This window comes from Homo sapiens, chromosome 14 (genome assembly GCF_000001405.40).
Source record: "Homo sapiens chromosome 14, GRCh38.p14 Primary Assembly".
Classification (NCBI taxonomy): domain Eukaryota; kingdom Metazoa; phylum Chordata; class Mammalia; order Primates; family Hominidae; genus Homo; species Homo sapiens.
In genome coordinates this window covers 61,029,122-61,049,623 of record NC_000014.9, presented here as the reverse complement: position 1 = coordinate 61,049,623, position 20,502 = coordinate 61,029,122, and the positions used below count along the sequence as shown (strand labels likewise).

General features: G+C 34.2%; 1 protein-coding gene and 1 long non-coding RNA gene across 24 annotated transcripts in view; one reads left to right on the top strand and one right to left on the bottom strand.

The window, feature by feature from the left end:
• SLC38A6 (solute carrier family 38 member 6) overlaps positions 1-20,502 on the bottom strand; it is a 102,489-nt gene that overhangs the window by 34,110 nt on the left and 47,877 nt on the right. For 15 of the 23 annotated variants that reach the window (NR_033344.2, XR_007063987.1, XR_007063988.1 and 12 more), the window contains 7 exons: positions 19,101-19,179; positions 12,483-12,565; positions 11,941-11,999; positions 6,412-6,477; positions 6,121-6,174; positions 4,199-4,278; positions 3,457-3,557 (listed from right to left, as the gene is read on the bottom strand). Coding sequence is in view for 19 of the 23 variants with exons in the window: in XM_017021022.2 (XP_016876511.1) it covers positions 3,457-3,557; positions 4,199-4,278; positions 6,121-6,174; positions 6,412-6,477; positions 11,941-11,999; positions 12,483-12,565; positions 19,101-19,179 (522 nt within the window). In the remaining 4 variants the exon portion in view is untranslated. Of the gene's footprint in view, positions 1-1,326; positions 1,474-2,669; positions 2,825-3,456; positions 3,558-4,198; positions 4,279-6,120; positions 6,175-6,411; positions 6,478-11,940; positions 12,000-12,482; positions 12,566-15,510; positions 16,037-19,100; positions 19,180-20,502 lie in introns of those variants that run through there. The other 8 variants (XM_017021021.2, XM_047431003.1, XM_047431006.1 and 5 more) reach the window with 5 other exon arrangements.
• LOC101927756 (uncharacterized) lies at positions 221-18,397 on the top strand. The gene is made up of 5 exons (XR_943921.2): positions 221-308; positions 4,088-4,150; positions 8,288-8,433; positions 16,902-16,939; positions 18,271-18,397. It is a non-coding gene; the product is annotated as an uncharacterized LOC101927756 (long non-coding RNA).

Below are 20,502 nucleotides of genomic sequence, written 5' to 3'. Positions count from 1 at the left end.
ATAGAAAGTGTGATATACACATGTAAGTGGCCAGAGAGTTCTAAACAAGAGCTATGGAGATTCTAAACTGTGATGACATAGAACATGTTCAAACCCCACCAGTAACTAGCAACTTACACTGAGTCTCTCAGTTCCTACATCTTTAAAATGGGGATGGCCATATACTAAACTATAGGGTTACTGAGAACATTACATGAGTCAATGAATGTGTGCTGATGTTCAAAGATGTGGGGGAAGAGATTCTCTAGAAGCAAGGAGCAGCACAAACAAAGCAAAGGGAATGTGCATCTGAGAAAATAAGTGGTCTAGTAAGTACTACAGTGGATGAAACAGTGTGTGGGTGATAGGGCTGGAAATGCATTTCAGACCTAGTAATACAGTTCTGCATGAGATGTGGCCTCAACCTGGTAGGCCACAGAAATGCAATAATGACTTACAAAGAACAGTGTATTATGATCTGAACTAAAGCAGGAGTACGGATTGGAAGAAAAAGAGACCCCAAACAGGCATAACAGCTACTGTTACAATCACTGAGAGGTAAAGAGAATCTGAACTAGACTAGTGATAATGGAAACAGGAGAGAAATGAATTGTCCAAAGTATCAAAAACATACTTTACACAATGTGGGATTTGGACTAAGTAGGAGACTAAGAAGAGCCAGGAAATCTGGATTCTATTTCCAAATCTGTGAGATACTTGTGAGTCTTTGGAGAAATATGGCAAACTATTTTATTTCCATTTTCTGAATCATAAAATGAGCTATTAACACTTCTTGCTTAACAACCTCATAGACTTTTTAAATGGCCTGGTTATTATGCAACATTTGGGCACTGGCCTGGCTCACCAGAGGAACCCTTTTCTCTTCCTTTCACAGCTGTAATCAGAGCAAGTATCATTAATCTAGGTACATACCTATAAGTCCCTTTAATCTGACAAATTTAGAAATTAAACTTTAGGAGCTCTGGATAAAAGGATCCAAAGCAGCTCCTGAATCTTGAAGAACTAGATTTATTACAAATTCAAAATAGATGTCACATGTCCACTTTCTACTTTCCCAGGATGAAAACACTTCTTCTGAGCCAGTCACTCTGTGTTCTTAACTGAGCCATAACATATGTGAGGGATAGAGTGGTGCATGCTTCCCTGGATTCAGACAAATCTCTACAAATCTCAGAAAGGGCCTAATGGTGATCTCTGCAAGTTATATATGCCATTGAAGTCAGGAGGCTGTCCTGTTTAATACACATTGTCAAACAGGGTATTAAGTTTACAAAGATTATCACAAAGTAGCAGAAATAACACTGGATTAGTATTCAGGAAACCTGCCTTTAATTCTGTGACAGGTCACTTCACCTCTCTGGGCTTTAGTTGTTCATCTGTAAAATGAATTGGAAGCCTTAAGTTGAGGCTAGCCCTTATAAGATCTCAGGTTCAACCAGCAATTTCTTCCTATGACACAAAGCTCCTGTTATCCTGGTAGAAAGATATGATCAAAGGTTTTTCTTGGTTATGATTCACAATCCAAGAGCAAATCAATATCTGCCTCTTCTGTCTTTGGAGAAGAACTTACTACTTTTGTATCATTTATTCTATTTATGTATGTATGTATGTATGTATGTATGTATGTATGTATGTATGTATGTATGTATCTATCTATCTATCTATCTAATCTATCATCTATTCATCCACCCATCTATCTGCCTACCCACCTACCTATTAATCAATCATATACCTACCTACCATGTGATTTTCTTAGATGTGTATTTCTCTATTATATAAAATTTGCATACTCTGAAGAATTTGCATTAGTGGAGAAGAGATTAAATCAGAGACAACATAATGGTTTTACTTGATATTAGACAAATCCCTGTCTAGGAAACATGCCATCTACATGATGAAAACCTTTAGCCTTTGTGTTCAAGCAGCAATGTTAGATAGATAGATTATACATAGATACATACATAGATAGATGCCTAGAGCTTAAGTGAGTCATATTTTTCTAAAAGATCACCTTAACAAAAACTTGGAATAAAGGAAATCTGGCTTCTATAGCACAATTTCTGAGTAGACAACACAGTAATAAAGGCATTGGCTTTGGAGAGAGACAAAACTAGATTCAAATCCCAATTCCACTATTAACTGGCTTCAAGTATCTGGTCTAATTACTCAACCTAAATGAACCTACACTGAGCTTGCAGAATTGTTATAAGGATTAAGTTAGGGAGTATATATAAAATACCTGACACTGTCTTAAATGTTAGCTCAATAAATGTATTAGCTTCCATCCTTCCTCCACATCCCTTTCAATCTAATACAGCTACAATTTAATACAGTTTCTAAGCACCTAATGGTGATTCATCTAACAATTTCTCAGCCAGCCTGGATATTGGCAAGCCATCTGAGGTTTCTTCCAGATAGTTCTATTTATCCATAGGGAGAAGAAGGAGGTCAGTTTTTTTGGACTTTTTCTTATTGCTGAAGATCCCTAAATATAATAGTGTTTGTGCCAGGTAGCAATTTTAATAAAAGAAATATATAGCTATTCCACTATACAAAATATTTTTGGATCCCAAGAGACCCTGTTACAGTATCTTATTGACACAGAAAAGTCTTATTGAGTTCAAGTCTGTATAAAAACTAACAAACCCAACATCCAAAAATAAAGTTTATATATTTAAGTAATTTTGTTTTATTAATGATGATCAGAAAAGCTTGACAATCTGTTTTAACTTTCTTTGTAGCGTCTCTAGCAGGGCACCATGCTCACATTGGAAATAATGCTTTTCCTGATGGTGTACACAGAACTTTACTTTTTCTTGAGGTTCTTATCAGAAGAGGAAAAAAAGTCAACATACAAAGCAGACAGTTTTTGCAAAAGAAATAAAACACAATTTTATTTTTGTTGCATAAATTTAAAAGAACCTGTAAAAATAATTAAGGAGGAAGGTCATGGTGCATCATAGAATGCACATCTGCTGAATCCTGTGATAATTAGATCTGAAGGCAGAGATGTCTGACATCTAAGTATACAGATATAGTTCTGTGTAAAACCCTTTCCTTTCTCAACTTGTTCTTTTGCAATTAAGATGACTGACTCACCCAACCCCCACACTTCTGAATTAGACTAATATATTGAATTCAAAATTTAAGAAAAACAGAATCATTAAAATTGCACATTTTTTCTTATAGAAAGAATCATGTCCCTAAGCCTGAAGTTTTACTTAAGTGTTTAAGAAAATTTTCATAAGAAGTCATTAATCTTAAACCTGAACTACCTTTCTAAAAGAAAGATAATCCAATTGTTTAGGCCTCAAGAGCCACCACAGTACTGCATTGTAATTTGGTGATCTGAGCAAATTAACTTAGTAATAAAAGGCATAGGTAAAGTCTATAGATTGGCGTGAGGCCATCTATGTAACTATTATTTTGTCATCTATAATTTTAAAATGTACTTACCATAAAAAGTGAGGTACCCAAAGAGTGCAGATATAAAATAAATGAGAAAACTTAAAGCAATTGCTGTATTGGTAACATTCTGCATTCTTTTCTTTGAAGGACTAAAAGACAAAAATGACAAAGGTAGAATAAGTGATCTGAATTATATGTAAAGAAACAAGTATGTCCTAAGCTGGTCGAGAGAATTCCTCATTCAAGAACAACTCCATCAATAACTATACACTAGAAGTCCTCATTCGAAATTAGTACACAAAGATTACACTTCTTCCTTTTTTTTTTTTTGAGACAGAGTCTTGCTCTGTCGCCCAGGCTGGAATACAGTAGTGTGATCTCGGCTCACTGTAACCTCCACCTCCTGGGTTCAAGCGATTCTCCTGCCTCAGCCTCACAAGTAGCTGGGATTACAGGTGCCCGCCACCACGTCCGGCTATTTTTTTTGTATTTTTAGTAGAGACGGGGTTTCACCATGTTGGCCAGGCTGGTCTTGAACTCCTGACCTCAGGTGACCCGCCTGCCTCGGCCTCCCAAAGTGCTGGGATTACAGGCCAGCCTCAAAGATTACACTTCTAGGAAACATTCTTAACTTGGACAGAACTAACTCTTGTTTGTTTTGTTTTAAACTAACACTTAGGATCCACTGATGAGAGGAAAGGATTAATAAAAGAGGATGTCATTCAATCCGAAAGCCTTAGAGGTAAAAAGATACACAATATATTTAAAATATTCCAGGATTCTACAGTACCTTTGAAGTTCACAGTATATGGGCAATATTGAGGTATGGCAGAGAAATGAAAAAGCCATGGTTGGTAAGGCATAAGCACTCTGAAAAAAATTTTAAAGAGACAAAATTATTAAATGCCACTCTACTGAAACCATTATTTCATTTGACAACAAACTCAGTTCTTTAAAAAATCAATTTGATTACATTTATTTCATCTTTAATGAGTCTTCTCTTTATAAAATAAGAATTTTTTAAAAGAGAAAAACACTTGTGATCCAGCAAATATTTTATTTGATAGTGGGCTTGCCTGTACTAGCCAGAATATTTTTTATTTGGCTGCCCATACCATGCTGCTTTTACTACAATCACTACTTCTACATTATCTGGATAAGATTTTAAAAATTACATAAGATAAATAATATTTAAATGAGATAAAAATAACATTTTAGAAATGCTCTTTTTTAATTCTCTGTCTTCTAAATGTACGCACAATTTAAATGTATCTTATTACTCTAAGCAGCACTAATAGTTAATGCTCTTGAACCTGCTTTCATGAACTCAATCCAAGGGAATACTGAAAATATTAATCACATTTTAATATTGCCAGCATCTTTGATTAGGATCTCTTTCAATGGGAATGAATATCATTTATTCTAGACCTACAAACTCTTAAGAGATCCAATGTAATATACAAATATAAGGTTTTGTTTTGTTTTTATTATTAGAATACTTAAGAGTCAGAGTAAAGCAAAAAAAGTTACCATTTAAGTGAAAATACCATCTTTACCAAATAGACGATGGTGATCTATTTTCTCCTTTCTGCTCTAAAAAAATTTCCACTTAACTAACTTCAGGCTCTTAAACAAAAGAAATTCCAGAAATGAAGACCTATCTTGGGACATAATGCCTAGAGTCTTAAAATATCTGAAGGGGGTTAGGAGAGAGGAAGCTGTAGTGTTTCCTGAGGCTGGACTAGGAAAATGAGAGTTTAATTCACAAATTCTCCATTTCATATATTGCTCAGTTTCCTGGCTTGTCAATTATCCTACCTAGATCTTTACGGCACCTGGAGGTCTTTACCATGTAAAAGATGTGGTAATCTCCCTTTTGGGACCAGAGAGATATTTCTCATTTAAAAACTAGAGATAAAAAGGAAAATTCTGCATGGTGGAGTAACCAAGCTAACATTCTACACTAATAGAGTTTTACATGAGCAGGGGGGATTCTAGCATCTGGGAACTATACAAAATAGCATTTCAGCAGAGTCAGAAAGTATAGACAAATAAGCCTGCAGCAACAGGGAAGACTTTGAGCTCTTCTAGAGTGGTAAAGCAGAGACCATCCATGTCACAGTTCTTGTCTCCTCTGCTGATGCTCAGGGGCTCTTACAGGCATTTCCAGTATCCTATGGCTTTTAGGGAAGGCAAAGGGACTTGGTCTCCTAGTCTCTACTCCTGGCATCATGAATTTCAACTTTGGAATGTCGGCCAGAAGATATATTGGCAGTGCTCAATCCCTAGTCCAATGATGAGGCTGTTTAGCTACAGACCAAGGTTCTACTCACAGGGGAAGAGTTTTTGATATAATTGGCTATTTAGCTTTACAAGTGCAGAGGGCAACAGGAAGTTGGTATACACAGAGGACCTTATTGGCCAGACCAGACATTCGGTAAATCTGTTCTTTCAGGCAGAGGCCCATTTAAAACAGGCTCCATTCAAAGGCATACCAGGAAAAAAAAAAAAAAAAAAAAAAAGGTGGCTGTTTCATAATAGGCCACCCTGTGTTAAATAATAGTAGTCTTCTGGTAGGCAATCCTATACTTAGCACTTTCATGAAAATTAATTAGTCACAGGTACAAAGACCTAAGAGACCCTGTTACACAAACCTCTTAAAACTTGAAATGTGAAAAATCAACTAAAAGTATCTGTTAATAACTTACACACCTCTTTGGAGAAATGAAAGAGCTTTGGCTTACAATCATCTGTAACATTTGAAATCTGTTTAAGAGCATTGAGGGGAAAAAGAGAAACCAACAGCCATTAAATTTCAGAATATATCAATAAAAATGATGAATTTATTATTACTAGGCTTTCAAATGAAAGTATTTCAAAACAAAGTTCTAAAATGCAATATAGCCATTACTTTTTCATCAATCAGAAAAGAATCATTAGTCTTTCTTTTCTTTTTAGTTAAAATAAAAAGGAAGAAACTGAAAAGAAAATATAAGCTATTACCTGGAAACCTTTCTCTACATAATTTAATGTCAGAGGACAAGGGATGGACCATTTTTTAATTATTACCTAAAAAAGTAAACAGAATCAGCACTCAGATCATTTCTTATAAAATTAATAAGAAACTGAATTGAAATAGGTCAGTATCATTTCAATTAAATAAGATGCTAATAGAAGAGTCTCTGCTTCTGTGACTTTTCCCGGTTAGAATGGGGTCAACATTTAACATGGTCACCTGTGGTAGGGAGGCGGTTGGAGACTGCAGGGTGTTAAGTAGAGATCTCCCCCATTAAAGACTAAGGGTACTCCTGTGTCAACTTTCAAAATTCCAACAGCATCAAGGCATTTTTTTTTAAGTGCAACTCAAAACAGGAACATGATGTTTTCAGTGACTGTCACACAGGAATATGGTTATTTGTAGAGTAGGTATTAGTGAATAGAGAAACATTTAACAGCAGTTTATGGAAAGGCCACAGGAAGAAATAAGTACAGACTTTATACTCAGAAGGAGCTCAGGGATTTCTGATGTACACATTAAGTGCTGCCCCTCCTTACTTTTACAGATCTGAATTATTTTTGGTTAATGTGGAGAAAGCTGGCTGGAATAGGAGCATATAGCTAGGGAACTCCAGCTGGTAAAAACAAACAAACAAACAAAAAAAACATTAAAAGAAATCCAGAGGGATGCTGTTTCCCAGAATTAATCAATGAAAATGTTTCATGTTTTTACTCTTAATTGTGGCCATCCTGTTATCAGACCTATAGCTGTGGCTCTGTCAATATTACCATTGTTGCTGTTGTTTCAGGGCACATAATTACTCTGTAAATGTTTGCTCCAGGGTGAATCCCAGTGCACAAAAGGACAAGAAAGAATAAAGGAAGTATTTGTTCTTTGTAGGAGACCAATATGTAAACACAATTTCTATTCCTACTTGGTATTTACCTAGTTTTGGATTTTGACTAATTTAATCAAAATTTTACACAGTGATAAAACAAATATAAGGAAAACATATACTTTTAGGATTAAGTTAATGAGTGAACTAAAGAATCACTCTTAATTAAAAACCTCACCAAGAAAAAAATTACTGTAGAAGGATAAACTAGACAAGCTGCTTTGACATTTCTAGGTAAGTTTTCAATATGACATAAAATGAAACGGTCAACTTACCAAAAGGAAATAACAAAATCAAAAGCAATAATCTCACCATCATTATCTTTATAGGTTTTCAAAGAAAAACAACAACAACAAAAAAAAACGATGAGGATGAGGTGAGGGTGAAACTGCTCCAAATTCAGTTTCTTTTCTTGTTTTTTTTAAGACAGGGTCTCACTCTGTCACCCAGCCTGGAGTGCAGTAACACAATCTCAGCTCACTGCAACCTCCACCTCCCAGGCTCAAACCATCCTTCCACCTCAGCCTCCCGAGTGCCTGGGACTACAGGTGTGTGGCCATCACACCCAGCTAATTTTTGTGTTTTTTGTAGAGAATAGATTTTGCCATGTTGCCCAGGCTGGTCTCAAACTCCTAGGCTCAAGTAATCCGCCTGTCCCAGGCTCCCAAAGTGTGGGATTACAGGCGTGAGCCACTGCACAGGCCCAAATTCAGTTTCTTATATTTTCCCCTAACTAACAGTGGTAGTGTTGGCAGAAAAAATCATTTACTGAGGACTTGCTGTGCACCAGGTACCTAGATAAACTCTGTATGTGAGCTGCCTCATTTATCAGTTGTTATTTCTTAAGCTTTCAAATCAAAATATTTCAAAGCAATGCTCCAAAGTGCAATATTATCATTAATTTTTATTAATTTGAAAAAAATAAGAAGTAGCCTGATTTTATATTAATAGACAGTTCAGTTACTACAGCTAATTTCTCTGCAAAGATCCATCCCAACTCCAAGCCTGTATGGTGGTATGGGGTGGATAGAGATGATGTCCCACAAAGCAGAAGTACAGAACGGGAGTGAAACGAGACCCAACAACAGAGAGGAAAGATTAACAGGAAGTCCTTGCTTAGGTTGGTAAGAAGGTAAGTCTTGGGGTTGGAATGACAAAGGGAAAAAGGAGACTAAGTATTAAAAATATTTGTTCACTTGCACAAAAGGCCTCCCTTCCTTCTCTCTGCTCTAAGCCCTTTGCTTCTTTTGTGGCTCAACTCAAGTTGTATTTCCTCTAAAATCCTTCTTTACTCTAGCTCTCAGTGAGCCTTCTCTCCTCTCAACTCTTGAGACTCTTATTCTGAAGCAAATATATCAATACTTATTTATATATTGCACACACTGTTCTCCATGTTTGAAAAGAAATTTATCTCCCCTACTAGATTGACAGATCCTTAAGACTAGTGTCCAGGTTAAATTTCCACATCCTAAAATGCCTAACATAGTGTTCAGTAGAAGCAAAGCTTCTGACTAAAAACCATTTAAATAATTCTCTATTTCAGGCCAGTGCAGTGGCTCACGCCTATAATCTCAGCACTTTGGGAGGCCAAGGTGGGAGGATCACTTGAACATAGGAGTTCAAGGCTAGCCTGGGCAACATAATGGGACTCTGTCTCTACCAACATTTAAAAAAAAATTTATCTGGCCAGGCGCGGTGGCTCACACCTGTAATCCCAGCACTTTGGGAGGCCCAGGCGGGCGGATCATGAGGTCTGGAGATCGAGACCATCCTGGCTAACACGGTCAAACCCTGTCTCTACTAAAAATACAAAAAATTAGCCAGGCGTGGTGGCGGGTGCCTATGGTTCCAGCTACTCGTGAGGCTGAGGCAAGAGAATGCTGTGAACCTGGGAGGCGGAGCTTGCAGTGAGCCGAGATGGCGCCACTGCACTCCAGCCTGGGTGACAGAGTGAGACTCCATCTCAAAAAAAAAAAAAAAAAAATTATCCAGGCGTGGTGGTATGCAGCTGTAGTTCTAGTGATTCAGGAAGCTGAGGCAGAAGAATCACCTAAGCCCGGCAGTTTGAGTCTGCAGTGAGCTATGATCATGCCACTGCACTCCAGTCTGGGTGACTGGAGAGAGTGAGATTCTGTCTCTTAAAAAAAAAAGTTGTCTAACTGGATTACCGACGTATTAAAACGTTGCTTAGAATACTAATCTGTACTTAAGATAGAACTTTTAGAACGAATGGTAATCCGCTTGTGCTCTAAAATACACCAAAAAAAAAGTAAATTTACCAAAAAAAGGTAAATCCATCTTGATGGTATCATTCTGAGACAGATATAATTTATTTTTAAAATTGCAAAATATTTTAGAGGGGGCAAAAATTTAGGTTAAATTTTTTTAATGAAAATACAGATCTGGGAGAACAGATAAAATATAGGTTTTAGTTTATATTATTCAAAGAATATAAGAAAATAATAGTTCCTGAACTGATTTTTAAAAAATATGATATAAATGCTATACATATTTACAAACACATATTGACAAGAATAATAAATGAAAAACTGGTATCCTTCCAAAATTCTGGGTTAATATATATACGTTTCCTTTTCCTAACCACTATGTATTTTAAAAGATAACATTCAGAGAATCTAAAATAAATATGGTGGCTGGGCACGGTGGCTCACGCCTGTAATCCCAGCACTTTGGGAGGCCGAGGTGGGTGGATCACTTGAGGTCAGGAGTTCAAGACTTGCCTGGCTAACATGGTGAAACACCATCTCTACTAAAAATACAAAAAAAAAAAAAAAAAATTAGCATGCACCTGAAATCCCAGCTACTTGGGAGGCTGAGTCAGGAGAATTGCTTGAACCCAGGAGATGTAAGTCACAGTGAACTGAGATCGTGCCACTGCACTCCACCCTGGGTGACAGAGCAAAACTCTGTCTCAAAATAAATAAATAAATAAATAATAAAATAAACATGCCAATTAAAAAGAGTATTTAAAAAAGCATACAGAGTATTCTTCATTGCCCCACTGTAGATTAAACTGTGCTCACAGGTAAAAATCTGAGCAGATGGTTTATAAGGCATTACAATAAATGTAGAATATGGGTATTATTTCCATATGGCTGCTACATTAGAAATCTGCATTGAATTAAAGAGTATCTGTCATGACAGAAACAAAACTACAGTAGACATATCATATCAATACATTTAACCTGCTTTAAGCTATTGGCTATGAAAACTAAATTACTCCTATCTATGCAATGATTGCATTGCCAATTATCTGTGAGAGAAAAATTCAATATGTTATCTATACTGATTCTCTTTAATATCCATACATTCATTTGCATATGTAGGCCACTTCTAACCACACTTCTCAACAATCAAATGATGATGGAAATATTTAGTTTTTTTCTTTTTCAATATGGAGCCTACAAAGTGTATGTTCAATTCACTTATCTGTAAGATATAAGTCAGACAACTGGGGAGAGAAGAAGAGGAATGATTTTAATGTTGTTAAATTCAACAAATGATTAAATGTAAACACTGTTAAATGTTTTTAGTTTTAAGAGCATTCAATAGAGAATAAATGCTTATATATACTAAAATCAGAGTCACTTCCACTTTGTTTAAATAATTTAAAGTTATTTTATCCCTGTGTCTCAGAAGATAGCTTAGCCTAAGTTAAATGCACCCTAGGTTGTTTTGACAGCTTTGAAATCTGGATCTTTAATATGGCTTAACTACTGATGTGCTGTTCTGCTCTTACATATGGCTGTTTCTTTCATGCATTTTCAAAAACAAGAAAGAGTTGAACCAAGCTTATGAAAAGCTCATTTGGACATGTATATTCTTGGAAAGTTAAAAATGTTTATTTCTACTTAAGGTTTGACATTTAGATACTGATTATGGAATAAACTGCTATACAAAGAAAAAAGACTTAAAAAATTTCACACAAAGGTACTATCTTTAGAATGTTAAGATGTTTTAGAAGAATTAGAAGGAAATAAATTTAAATTCTTATCTTTATATTATTTTATAATATCAAAATAAGTTAAATTTACCATCTGATATTTTTATATAATAAAAATGAGCTAATTAAAAAATAAGGAATATATCCCACATGTGAAGAAAAATATTTGTAGTAGTGTTTTTATGAGAATTTATCTATGCTGAATAAACCAGACAAAATAGAATTCAGTCAACCCAGTTCTTACTAGATCTCCTCAATGTAGTACCAGAAGCTCTGTTTTTTTATTAATGGAATAAAGTTTCAAAATTAAGATGACTAGTCTCAAACAGATTTTACAGATTAGAACCAGACTGATTCTTCATACAGTATGGTACAGGAATAAATTTACACACCTACACAAAGAATTACACTCCATCTAGGATTTTAACAGAATTGGCACGCTCTCCTCTCTAGTTAACCACAAGAAATGCTGAATTTGAAATGCTGTTCTAGCTAAGCCTCTTCAAAATAGATACAATGAAGGAAATAATTTAATGGAACAAAAGTGCTTTTAATAACACAGTGAAATAAAATGAGATACCCTTCCCAACACAAAACAGTTAAAAGTAAAAAAGACTAACACAATGAGTCCAATTTTAGTGAGGAGATAAGCAATGTATTATATTTTAAACTTACCACAAGAGCAAAGAACATCATAAAGAAAAATGATAAACTACTTGTGTAGCCAAGAAAGCCTGTAAAATAACAGTAAAATAAAAAGCAATTTATAAGGAAAGCGATTTTAACGTACAACTAAAGCTATACATCTTAGGCATGTTTTCTATTATAGTGGTTGGTATCTGGGGCTTAGGGCTCAGAATAACAACATTCCAACTATCTGTCACAGATCATTTATGTAGCTCTGTACAGCAGAATTGGAACTGGCTTACCACTAATGGTACACTGTAAGGAAAGGCTGCTCTTTAATGTTCCGCTGTAAAGATTTTATTTTAGTGGGGCAGACAAAATACTACTGCAAACCAAGTAATAGGTTAACTAGGCAGGGCTGAAGGCTGAACAACCTAAAATAAGGCCAAGTTTAAAATTATACACAACCACCATCCTTCTGCCAAAAATGTGGTACTGTGAAATTTTAAAGCCCCTTAATATTTGTCTCTCTTTCCCTCCCTCCCTTCTTTCCTTTTTCTAAACAAATAATGTGCTCTATAAAGACTTACCTATTTTGGGAAGAAGTGCAAGAGGGAACACAATGCCAACACATATGATTATTAGTAGTGTTTGTCCATCAAGATACCAATATCTATTATAAAAAAAGTTCTACTTTAGGCATGGGACTCCAGTGTTTGTTCTGACACACACACACACACACACACACACACACACACACACACACACACAGAGTTATAACCATTACAACCAGCTATTAGGAAAAGCCTACTTCCTTTCATTAAAATGTTCTTGTGGGATCCTATTTTTCTTATTAATGAATTGACATTTAGAAATGAATAAAAACAAAGAGATGCCATTTCCAACTACTGAATTAATAAATATTTAAAAATAAGATAATAGTCAACATTAGTGAGGAGTGATGAGGTGTGTAAAAAGCTGGTGAAAATGCAAATTATATAAATTACCTTTCTGGAAAGCAATTTGGCAATAGATATAAAGAATTTTCAAATAATTATATACTTGAAAACACTTATAAAAGACTATTAAAAATAATAAGAACATACACTTTTTGTAAATTTTTATTTTATTTAAGTTCCGTAGAACATGTGCAGAATGTGCAGGCTTGTTACGTAGGTATACATGTGCCATGGTGGTATGCTGCACCTATCAACCCGTCATCTAGGTTTTAAGCCCTGCATGCATTAGGTATTTGTCCTAATGCTCCCCCTCCCCTTGCCCCCACCCACCAACAGGCCCCAGTCTGTGATGTTCCCCTCCCTGTGTTCATGTGCTCTCATTGCTCAACTCTCACTTACGAGTGAGAACATGCGGTGTTTGGTTTTCTGTTCCTGAAGAACAAAGACTTTTATAAAAAGATGTTTACTGAAAACATTTAAAATAATAAAAATTGAAAACAAACCTCCAAGACCATGATAATTTTGAAATAACAATATACTGAATATTCAGTAAACATCATATATTTGTGTGTATATAGCATGATAATTTTGAGGAAAAACATGGATGCATTAAAAATGGAAAGGAACTAAAATATATTGATAGCCATTATCTCTGGGTGGTAAAATAATAGGTCATTTTTCTTCTTTATAGTTTTCTATATACATTTTTCCAAATTTCAGGAAAGGGCATTAATCACCAATTGTAAAATATTAAAATTTTCATATAAAGGCATTAGAATACAGAATGAGAAAAAGGTAGGTTAACGTGATTTTGTATTTGTTCATTGAAAAAAACAAAACTGGATGCACATATAAAGCCAGAAGGATATACTTAAAATACCAAAAAGTAGATATTTTTATGTGATAGCAATATGAGCAATATGTGAGATACATATGTAGACATTTTTAAAAGTTAAAGTTAATTCCCAAGACCTCAATAGATTTGTATGCAAAGGAGAAACAATTCATGAAAGAAATACAACTAGTAAATACACATGAAGAAAATCCAATCACTGGTGCTAATTAAAGAAATAATGAGACTGTTTCAATTAATCTAGCAAAATTAGTAAACAAAAATATTCAAGGATGTGGCACAACTGGACTTCATACATTGCTAGTGATCGTGCCAATTAGTACTATCTCTTGGAAAAACAATGATTATATGTAGCAAGAGCAATAAAAATGTAGTGGCAATCTAAGAAAATAAAATAGAGAAAATTCTATGTATGTGAAGCTGTTGAATATATTATTATAATATTGAGAAGCTGGAGGAAAACTCTATATACCCAACATTTGAAAATATTTAGAACAGCATACTCAATGGAATGTTACGTGGCTTTAAGAAAAAACACAATGAATAAAATGGAAAATGATGATGATATAAATATAATTATTAACTATAGTTTTGAAAGCTTTTGCGAAAAATTCAAAAGAATTAAAAGGACAGTGACTAGGTTAGAGATGTTATGCATGATTTTTCTTTGCTTTTTTTTCTCAATTTTCTTTATCGTAGCTGTCAGATATTTACACTTAAGTGTATACACATACATACACACGCACAATAGTAACAAAGTAAAACTTATGCAAAAATGGGAGCTTGGGGCATCAAAGACCAATAGGGACTTTTTCAAATTGTTTGGTAGATAATCTCAAAATTCCCACTTTGCAATAACGCATCCTCTTTCATTCTCTGCCAGATACCAGTCTCCCACTGCCATGTTAAATTAGGCAAAGGTCTTCTACATGGATTTCAACCAGTGGCTTCTAACATGAACTTAATTGTTACTGTTGGGTGCTGACAACTTCCTCTTTAACAGAACAAGAGAAGGAGCAGCTGCAGAAACAGCACCATGATGACACTTTTCCCTTCTCCACCCTAATTTGTATCATTAGGAAATACATATGCCAGAAACTATAACCTATGCATAAGTATTTACAGCTTTAGTGGACCTGAAGCTTTGCTCTCTCCATTTGCACATGCCCCTCAATTCCTGGTATGCAGGAAGTACTAAAAGAGTACACATATCAATAATACAAAAATGATACTCAACGTGTTTATCTTCTAGTCACTCTTGAGTAAGAATCAAAACAGAAACTTCAAAAGATCTTTCATTGAGGAACACCTGGCAACCAAATTTCTGAAGCTGGCAAAAGGCCCAGGGCTCTATGTCTGAAATGTGTTTCCTTCTGGGACCCAATGTTAGACCCAGACAGTTGCAGTGCCAGGAGGAAAAATGCCCAAAGGAGTACCAAAGGAGATTCCATCTGTTAGTTTTGCTGTCTCTCGTAGATAACAATACCGCATTATACACTTGAAAATCTGTTGAGAGTGCAGATTTCATGTCAAGTGTTCTTACCGTAATAAAATAAAACAAAAAATTATTATAAGCCAATTTCACTCTTTAAAAGAAAAAAAAATGTCACGAAGCTAAAGTTGTACAAAAGGGAGCATTTAATCCCCAGGACCAGGACTCTTTTCTCTTGCACAGGAATAAAGGAACACTTTTTGAAATTCTGTACACCAGTTACTTTATACTATTTCAGATCACAATTCATTTATGTCCATAAAAGTCATATAACTGACCAAAGCACTGAACTGTGGGACTGAAGATAACTTTACCTCCTCCCAGCAGTAACTCAGAATCACAGTTATGGAATGTTAGAGCTGGAAGAGACCTTAGAGATCATCTGGCTCAACAACTTCATTTTATATGTCTGTAAAATCAGCAAAAGGAAGGTGACAGTAGCAATGGAAATACTTTCAGATACTACCTCATTTATTTCAAGATCATGCTTTGCATTCTCCTTTTCATAGGATTGAACTTTAAATTCTTAATATAAAAATAATTATACTGTAAAATGTAATTTCTCTATCCTTGTCTTGGCTACTGGTTATCGTTAATCATTTCTTATCCTTAATAATTCATCTTAATAAAGCCAATTTTAAATACAGTGCTTTTCTTTACCATTCATTAACAATAAAGGCAACACAGTAAAGCACAGTAAAATTAGTTTAGATTTCACATGTGTGTCACAGACAAATGAATTGTGTTTCTCAATGGATATTTTCTAAAGAACAGAAATTATTAAACTTACAAAATAAAACTGCTGCCTGAGAAAAACAAACTAGTAAAAAGAAATCTCAAAAAGTACATATTAAATACATTTATTTTGTAAATAAGCATTTCAGAAGAATGTACTAACTTTAATTTTTTCCTAAGGGGGGAATAAAGAACGATCTAACAGAACTCCTGTTTTCCTACTGTGATCTAAATATACATTCTCTTTAAGCCAAAAGAATTAGAGTAAAAACCTTTATACTTCCTAGAGAACTTGTTTGATCTGTGGATTTAATCCTGTATGATAAAAATGTTCCAAGTATGAAATATAGAGTATAAATCCTTAGCTGTATTGCAAATGCTTTGGCATGCAGATGTTTTTTTCCATATTTTAATGAAAACCAGATTTATTTATAAGTCGCTTTAATTTCATTCTCGAAAGGAATGGAACAAGAGTATCATATGTTCTGAATTAGGATCTTACTCACATCCCATATCAATTATGTAACTAAAATGCAAGACAACTTAATTGTGTCAATCATATTCCCCGACAAGATCATTAAATGTTAACAGAGAGCTTCCAACTTTAACAGCCACAGATTTTAAAAATGTAAGTTATTCTATGAAATATATAGATATATCATGAAAGTTCAGTATAAGTATTATAGCTTCTGACTTCTATTAGAATATTATGAACACAGTTTCATTCTGATATCTTTATAAAGATTTATATTTCAAAGGTACACCAAGCTCGCAGATAACCCAGAAAATTAGCATACCTGAAAGATCTTAATTAAAATTTATTGTATATCAAACCCTAAAATAAAAGCTTATCAATATCATGTTTCTCTCATAGAAGAAATACTGCCTACTGTAAGTCTATCTAGAAAAAAACTGTCCTTTATGGATAGTAAAGTCAATTATCATATTTTGTTTCTTACTTATTTTCTAGCATCAAGCTTTCAAGACTAATGATTTATCTGCATTCAAGTAAGTTAATATAATTAGCCAAAAATAAATGAATATATATTACATTTAAAACAAGATAAGGTTGTTAAAAAGATGTACAATTTTAAAACATAACAGAGATGATGCAAACTGACCACAGTATTTTGAAGTATATGATTTTAAAAATGTATTTCTAACATGTAAAAATAACATTTTAATCAATTTTCTATTAATATGAATGAGATGGAAGTTCATTTTAATTTTTATTTAAAAAACAAAAAAATCAATGCAACAATGTAAATCATTTGCCAATTATTTAAAATGAAGCTACGGTAAAAATATCACTTTTAGAGAAAGAAGACCTAAATTTCAATACCAGTTCTGCCACATACTACTTTAATTATTTCTAAAATATTACATATATTTCTAATCCCTCCTCTTTCCACCGACATATGACAATAAAAGAATATAAATAGGAGCCACCAAATTCAGGATCAAGAAAAAAGAAAACACTTGTGACAACTGTTGGAATTAACACAGTTATATTAATTCAAATGTGTCACATTTGACTCTGAGCTTCCTGGCAGTCAGGGCAAAAAGGGAAACACCACGTTTAATATAGTAATTATTAGAATTCCTTAATTCTCCACACTGTGCTGTAAGTTTGTGTACACACATGCTTGTTTATACACATGCTATTAGCATGTGTATATATATCTTACTTGATCATCCCAGCAACTTTATTGAGAAGGCAATATTGGTACCCCCATTATATCACATAAAAAAACCTAAGGCTCCAAGTACTTTATATAGTCAAAAGAAGTTAAATTAAGTTCCTGAGATTATTGAATATTAAATGGATAGAACACATATCTCCTTACTCTTAGTCTAGCCCTCTTTATTCTACCTCATATTGCCTTGAGTTCTTAACCCTAAAATATAAATTTCTCACATAGAATTTGAGTAATAGAAGGTGCCCTCAATGTTTTTTACAGCAGATACAAAAATGAATTTCACATAGCTATTTCTTATAGGAATTGTTTATCAACCTAAGCATAAAATCAAAATGTAACTAGATAAAGCTGTAGATAAAATAAGGTAGTTTTGAGTATCAGATGTGATAATGCATGTGGAAACCTCATTAACTGTAAAGTATCATACAAAGGAACAATATCTTCTGATGAAGAGAAATCATTTAGGACTTCTACTTGTCTTTTTTTAACTACATTTTCTTGATGGTTTCTATTCAGATCTAAAGTACACCACACTTTTCTTACAAATATGTATTTGCAGTTGTCTAAGTAGAATTCTTTAATGGAAGCTGAAATGTAAAAGCTAAAAACTAATTTTTGAAACCTTTCCTTGCATTCCAGAACAAGTTCAATTATTGAAGCAGAACAACCCAGTATTCAAATCTAAAAGTCTGACAGGTTTTGTACTGTGGTTTGAAACTTAACTATGTGAAATAACTTGATGGCAATTAAAATGATTTATTCTGTCTTTTCAAGTTCCTTTTTCTAGAATGTTCTTGTTCTACACAGTGAAAAGTACAATTAATTTTGTTTTTTCCCTATAAAGAGGTGAGTCAAAAATGTAAGATGCATTTTTTAAAGAAAGATAAAAGAGATACAATGTAGTTTAGTATTGTTTATAATATTGTTCAAAAACAGGAAATGAAACAATTAAGTCCTTGCAAATAATTTATTTTTTTGCCATGGTATATAATAGGAATTTCAAACAGGTATAGTTGTAACTGCCACATTTTTTATCACTATGATTTGCTGAGAAATGACAGCAATATCATTCACTCCCCTCCTTTGTTTAAGACCCGTACTGTCAGTATATTCAACCTTCTCCCATCCCCAACCTGTGTCTTGCATATCCCCAGAAATTTACCCTTTATTCCTCCTTAAGAGCATCTCAATCTCAGACCTGTCTTAGCCTATCTCACACCCCCAAGGAATGCAAGGATTATATCTGGTGCTTCATATGGTTCACAGAACAGCGCTTTCATATGGGTAATCAAACATTGGCTGAGTAGTTTCTATTCTATTACTGCTTCACTTCTGCCTAATTTGTAACTGTCTTGAGGGCAAGGACTACATTTATTTTACCTGCCACTACAAGTATTGCCATTTACAGCTTAATACATATTTATCAAATTAATACATGAACGGACACAATGTAAAATACTTTTTCTTACCTACTATAGTCTCCAGTCAAAAATTCTGCAATAGCAGCAGGAAGCTCTGTTTTAATAATTAAAAGATAAGATGACATAGCTGCAAAAGAATAAATAGTGTTCCTATTAGAATTCTATGATTCTTAACCATTTAAACAATAATCCATCTAGGAAAAGAGATGTCCATTAGAGCTATGACAACATATGGAAGATTAACATATAACACACTATACCAAAGATACATACACACACACACACACACACACACACACACACACACAGAAAAGTAACTGTAGAGAAGAATAACAATTGTTAAGTTCATTAAGTATCTTTTGTTTACATTTCAAGTCCAAAGCAAACTAGGTAAGAGAAACAGTCTTGATTACAGGCTACTTTTAAATGAAATTTTGTACAAAGTTTTACAAAAACTCTCTTATATGTTATCACTCCGTCTAAGGCATTAGAGGTTAGTTTAGCAACAACAGACATAGACACAGAAGTTTAATAGGTATGGCTAGTAACTGGATTATCTGTTCCTTCTTACTAGAGAAAGATGCCTCCCCACAACAGAGAAGTCTCATTCCCTCTGTCCCTTTCTTTTCCTCTCTCTACTACCCACCCCTGCATTATGAACACATATAATTATAGGATAAAAAAGAATACATAATGAATTACATTTAAAATTAGTCTCTAAAAAGATTAGAGAAAGTTCAATATAAACCATTAAATATATTAAAAAGACAAAACTTCCAACTTTTATTCCATTTTATTAACAGGGTTCATCTATATTATGTAATCATAACCTGAAGCTAGCATTATTTCTCACATTTAATCTAACAGAGTCCGATAAATAACTACCTTTTATAGCACTTTAATAACGATCCTAATTCTGATGTAGCTATAAAAACAAATTCTATAAAAATACTAGGAAAAGTTTTAATATGGTTACAGAATACAGAACTCATTCATATGTAAATACTTGAGTTTAAGCTTAAATATATAGAAACTCAGAAGATTTGTAGTCAGAACTTCAATTTAACAGAGTAAGATTCTCTTTCCTCCCAGAGATTATGTTTGTGTGTATGTGTTGGGGCCAAAAAGGAAACGCCCATGAAGAACAAAGAGTGTTTGGGAGGCCAAGGCGGGCGGTTGACGAGGTCAGGAGTTCGAGACCAGCCTGGCCAACATGGTGAAATCCTGTCTCTACTGAAAATACAAAAATTAGCCAGGCGTGGTGGCAGTTGCCTGCAATACCAGCTAACCTGGGAGGCTGAGGCAGGAGAATCGCTTGAAACTGGAAGGCGGAGGTTGCAGTGAGCCGAGACTGCACCACTGCACTTCAGCCTGGGTGAAAGAGCAAAATTCCACCTCAAAAAAAAAAAAAAAAAAGAATAAAGAGTATACTTTGTGTGCACATTAATTT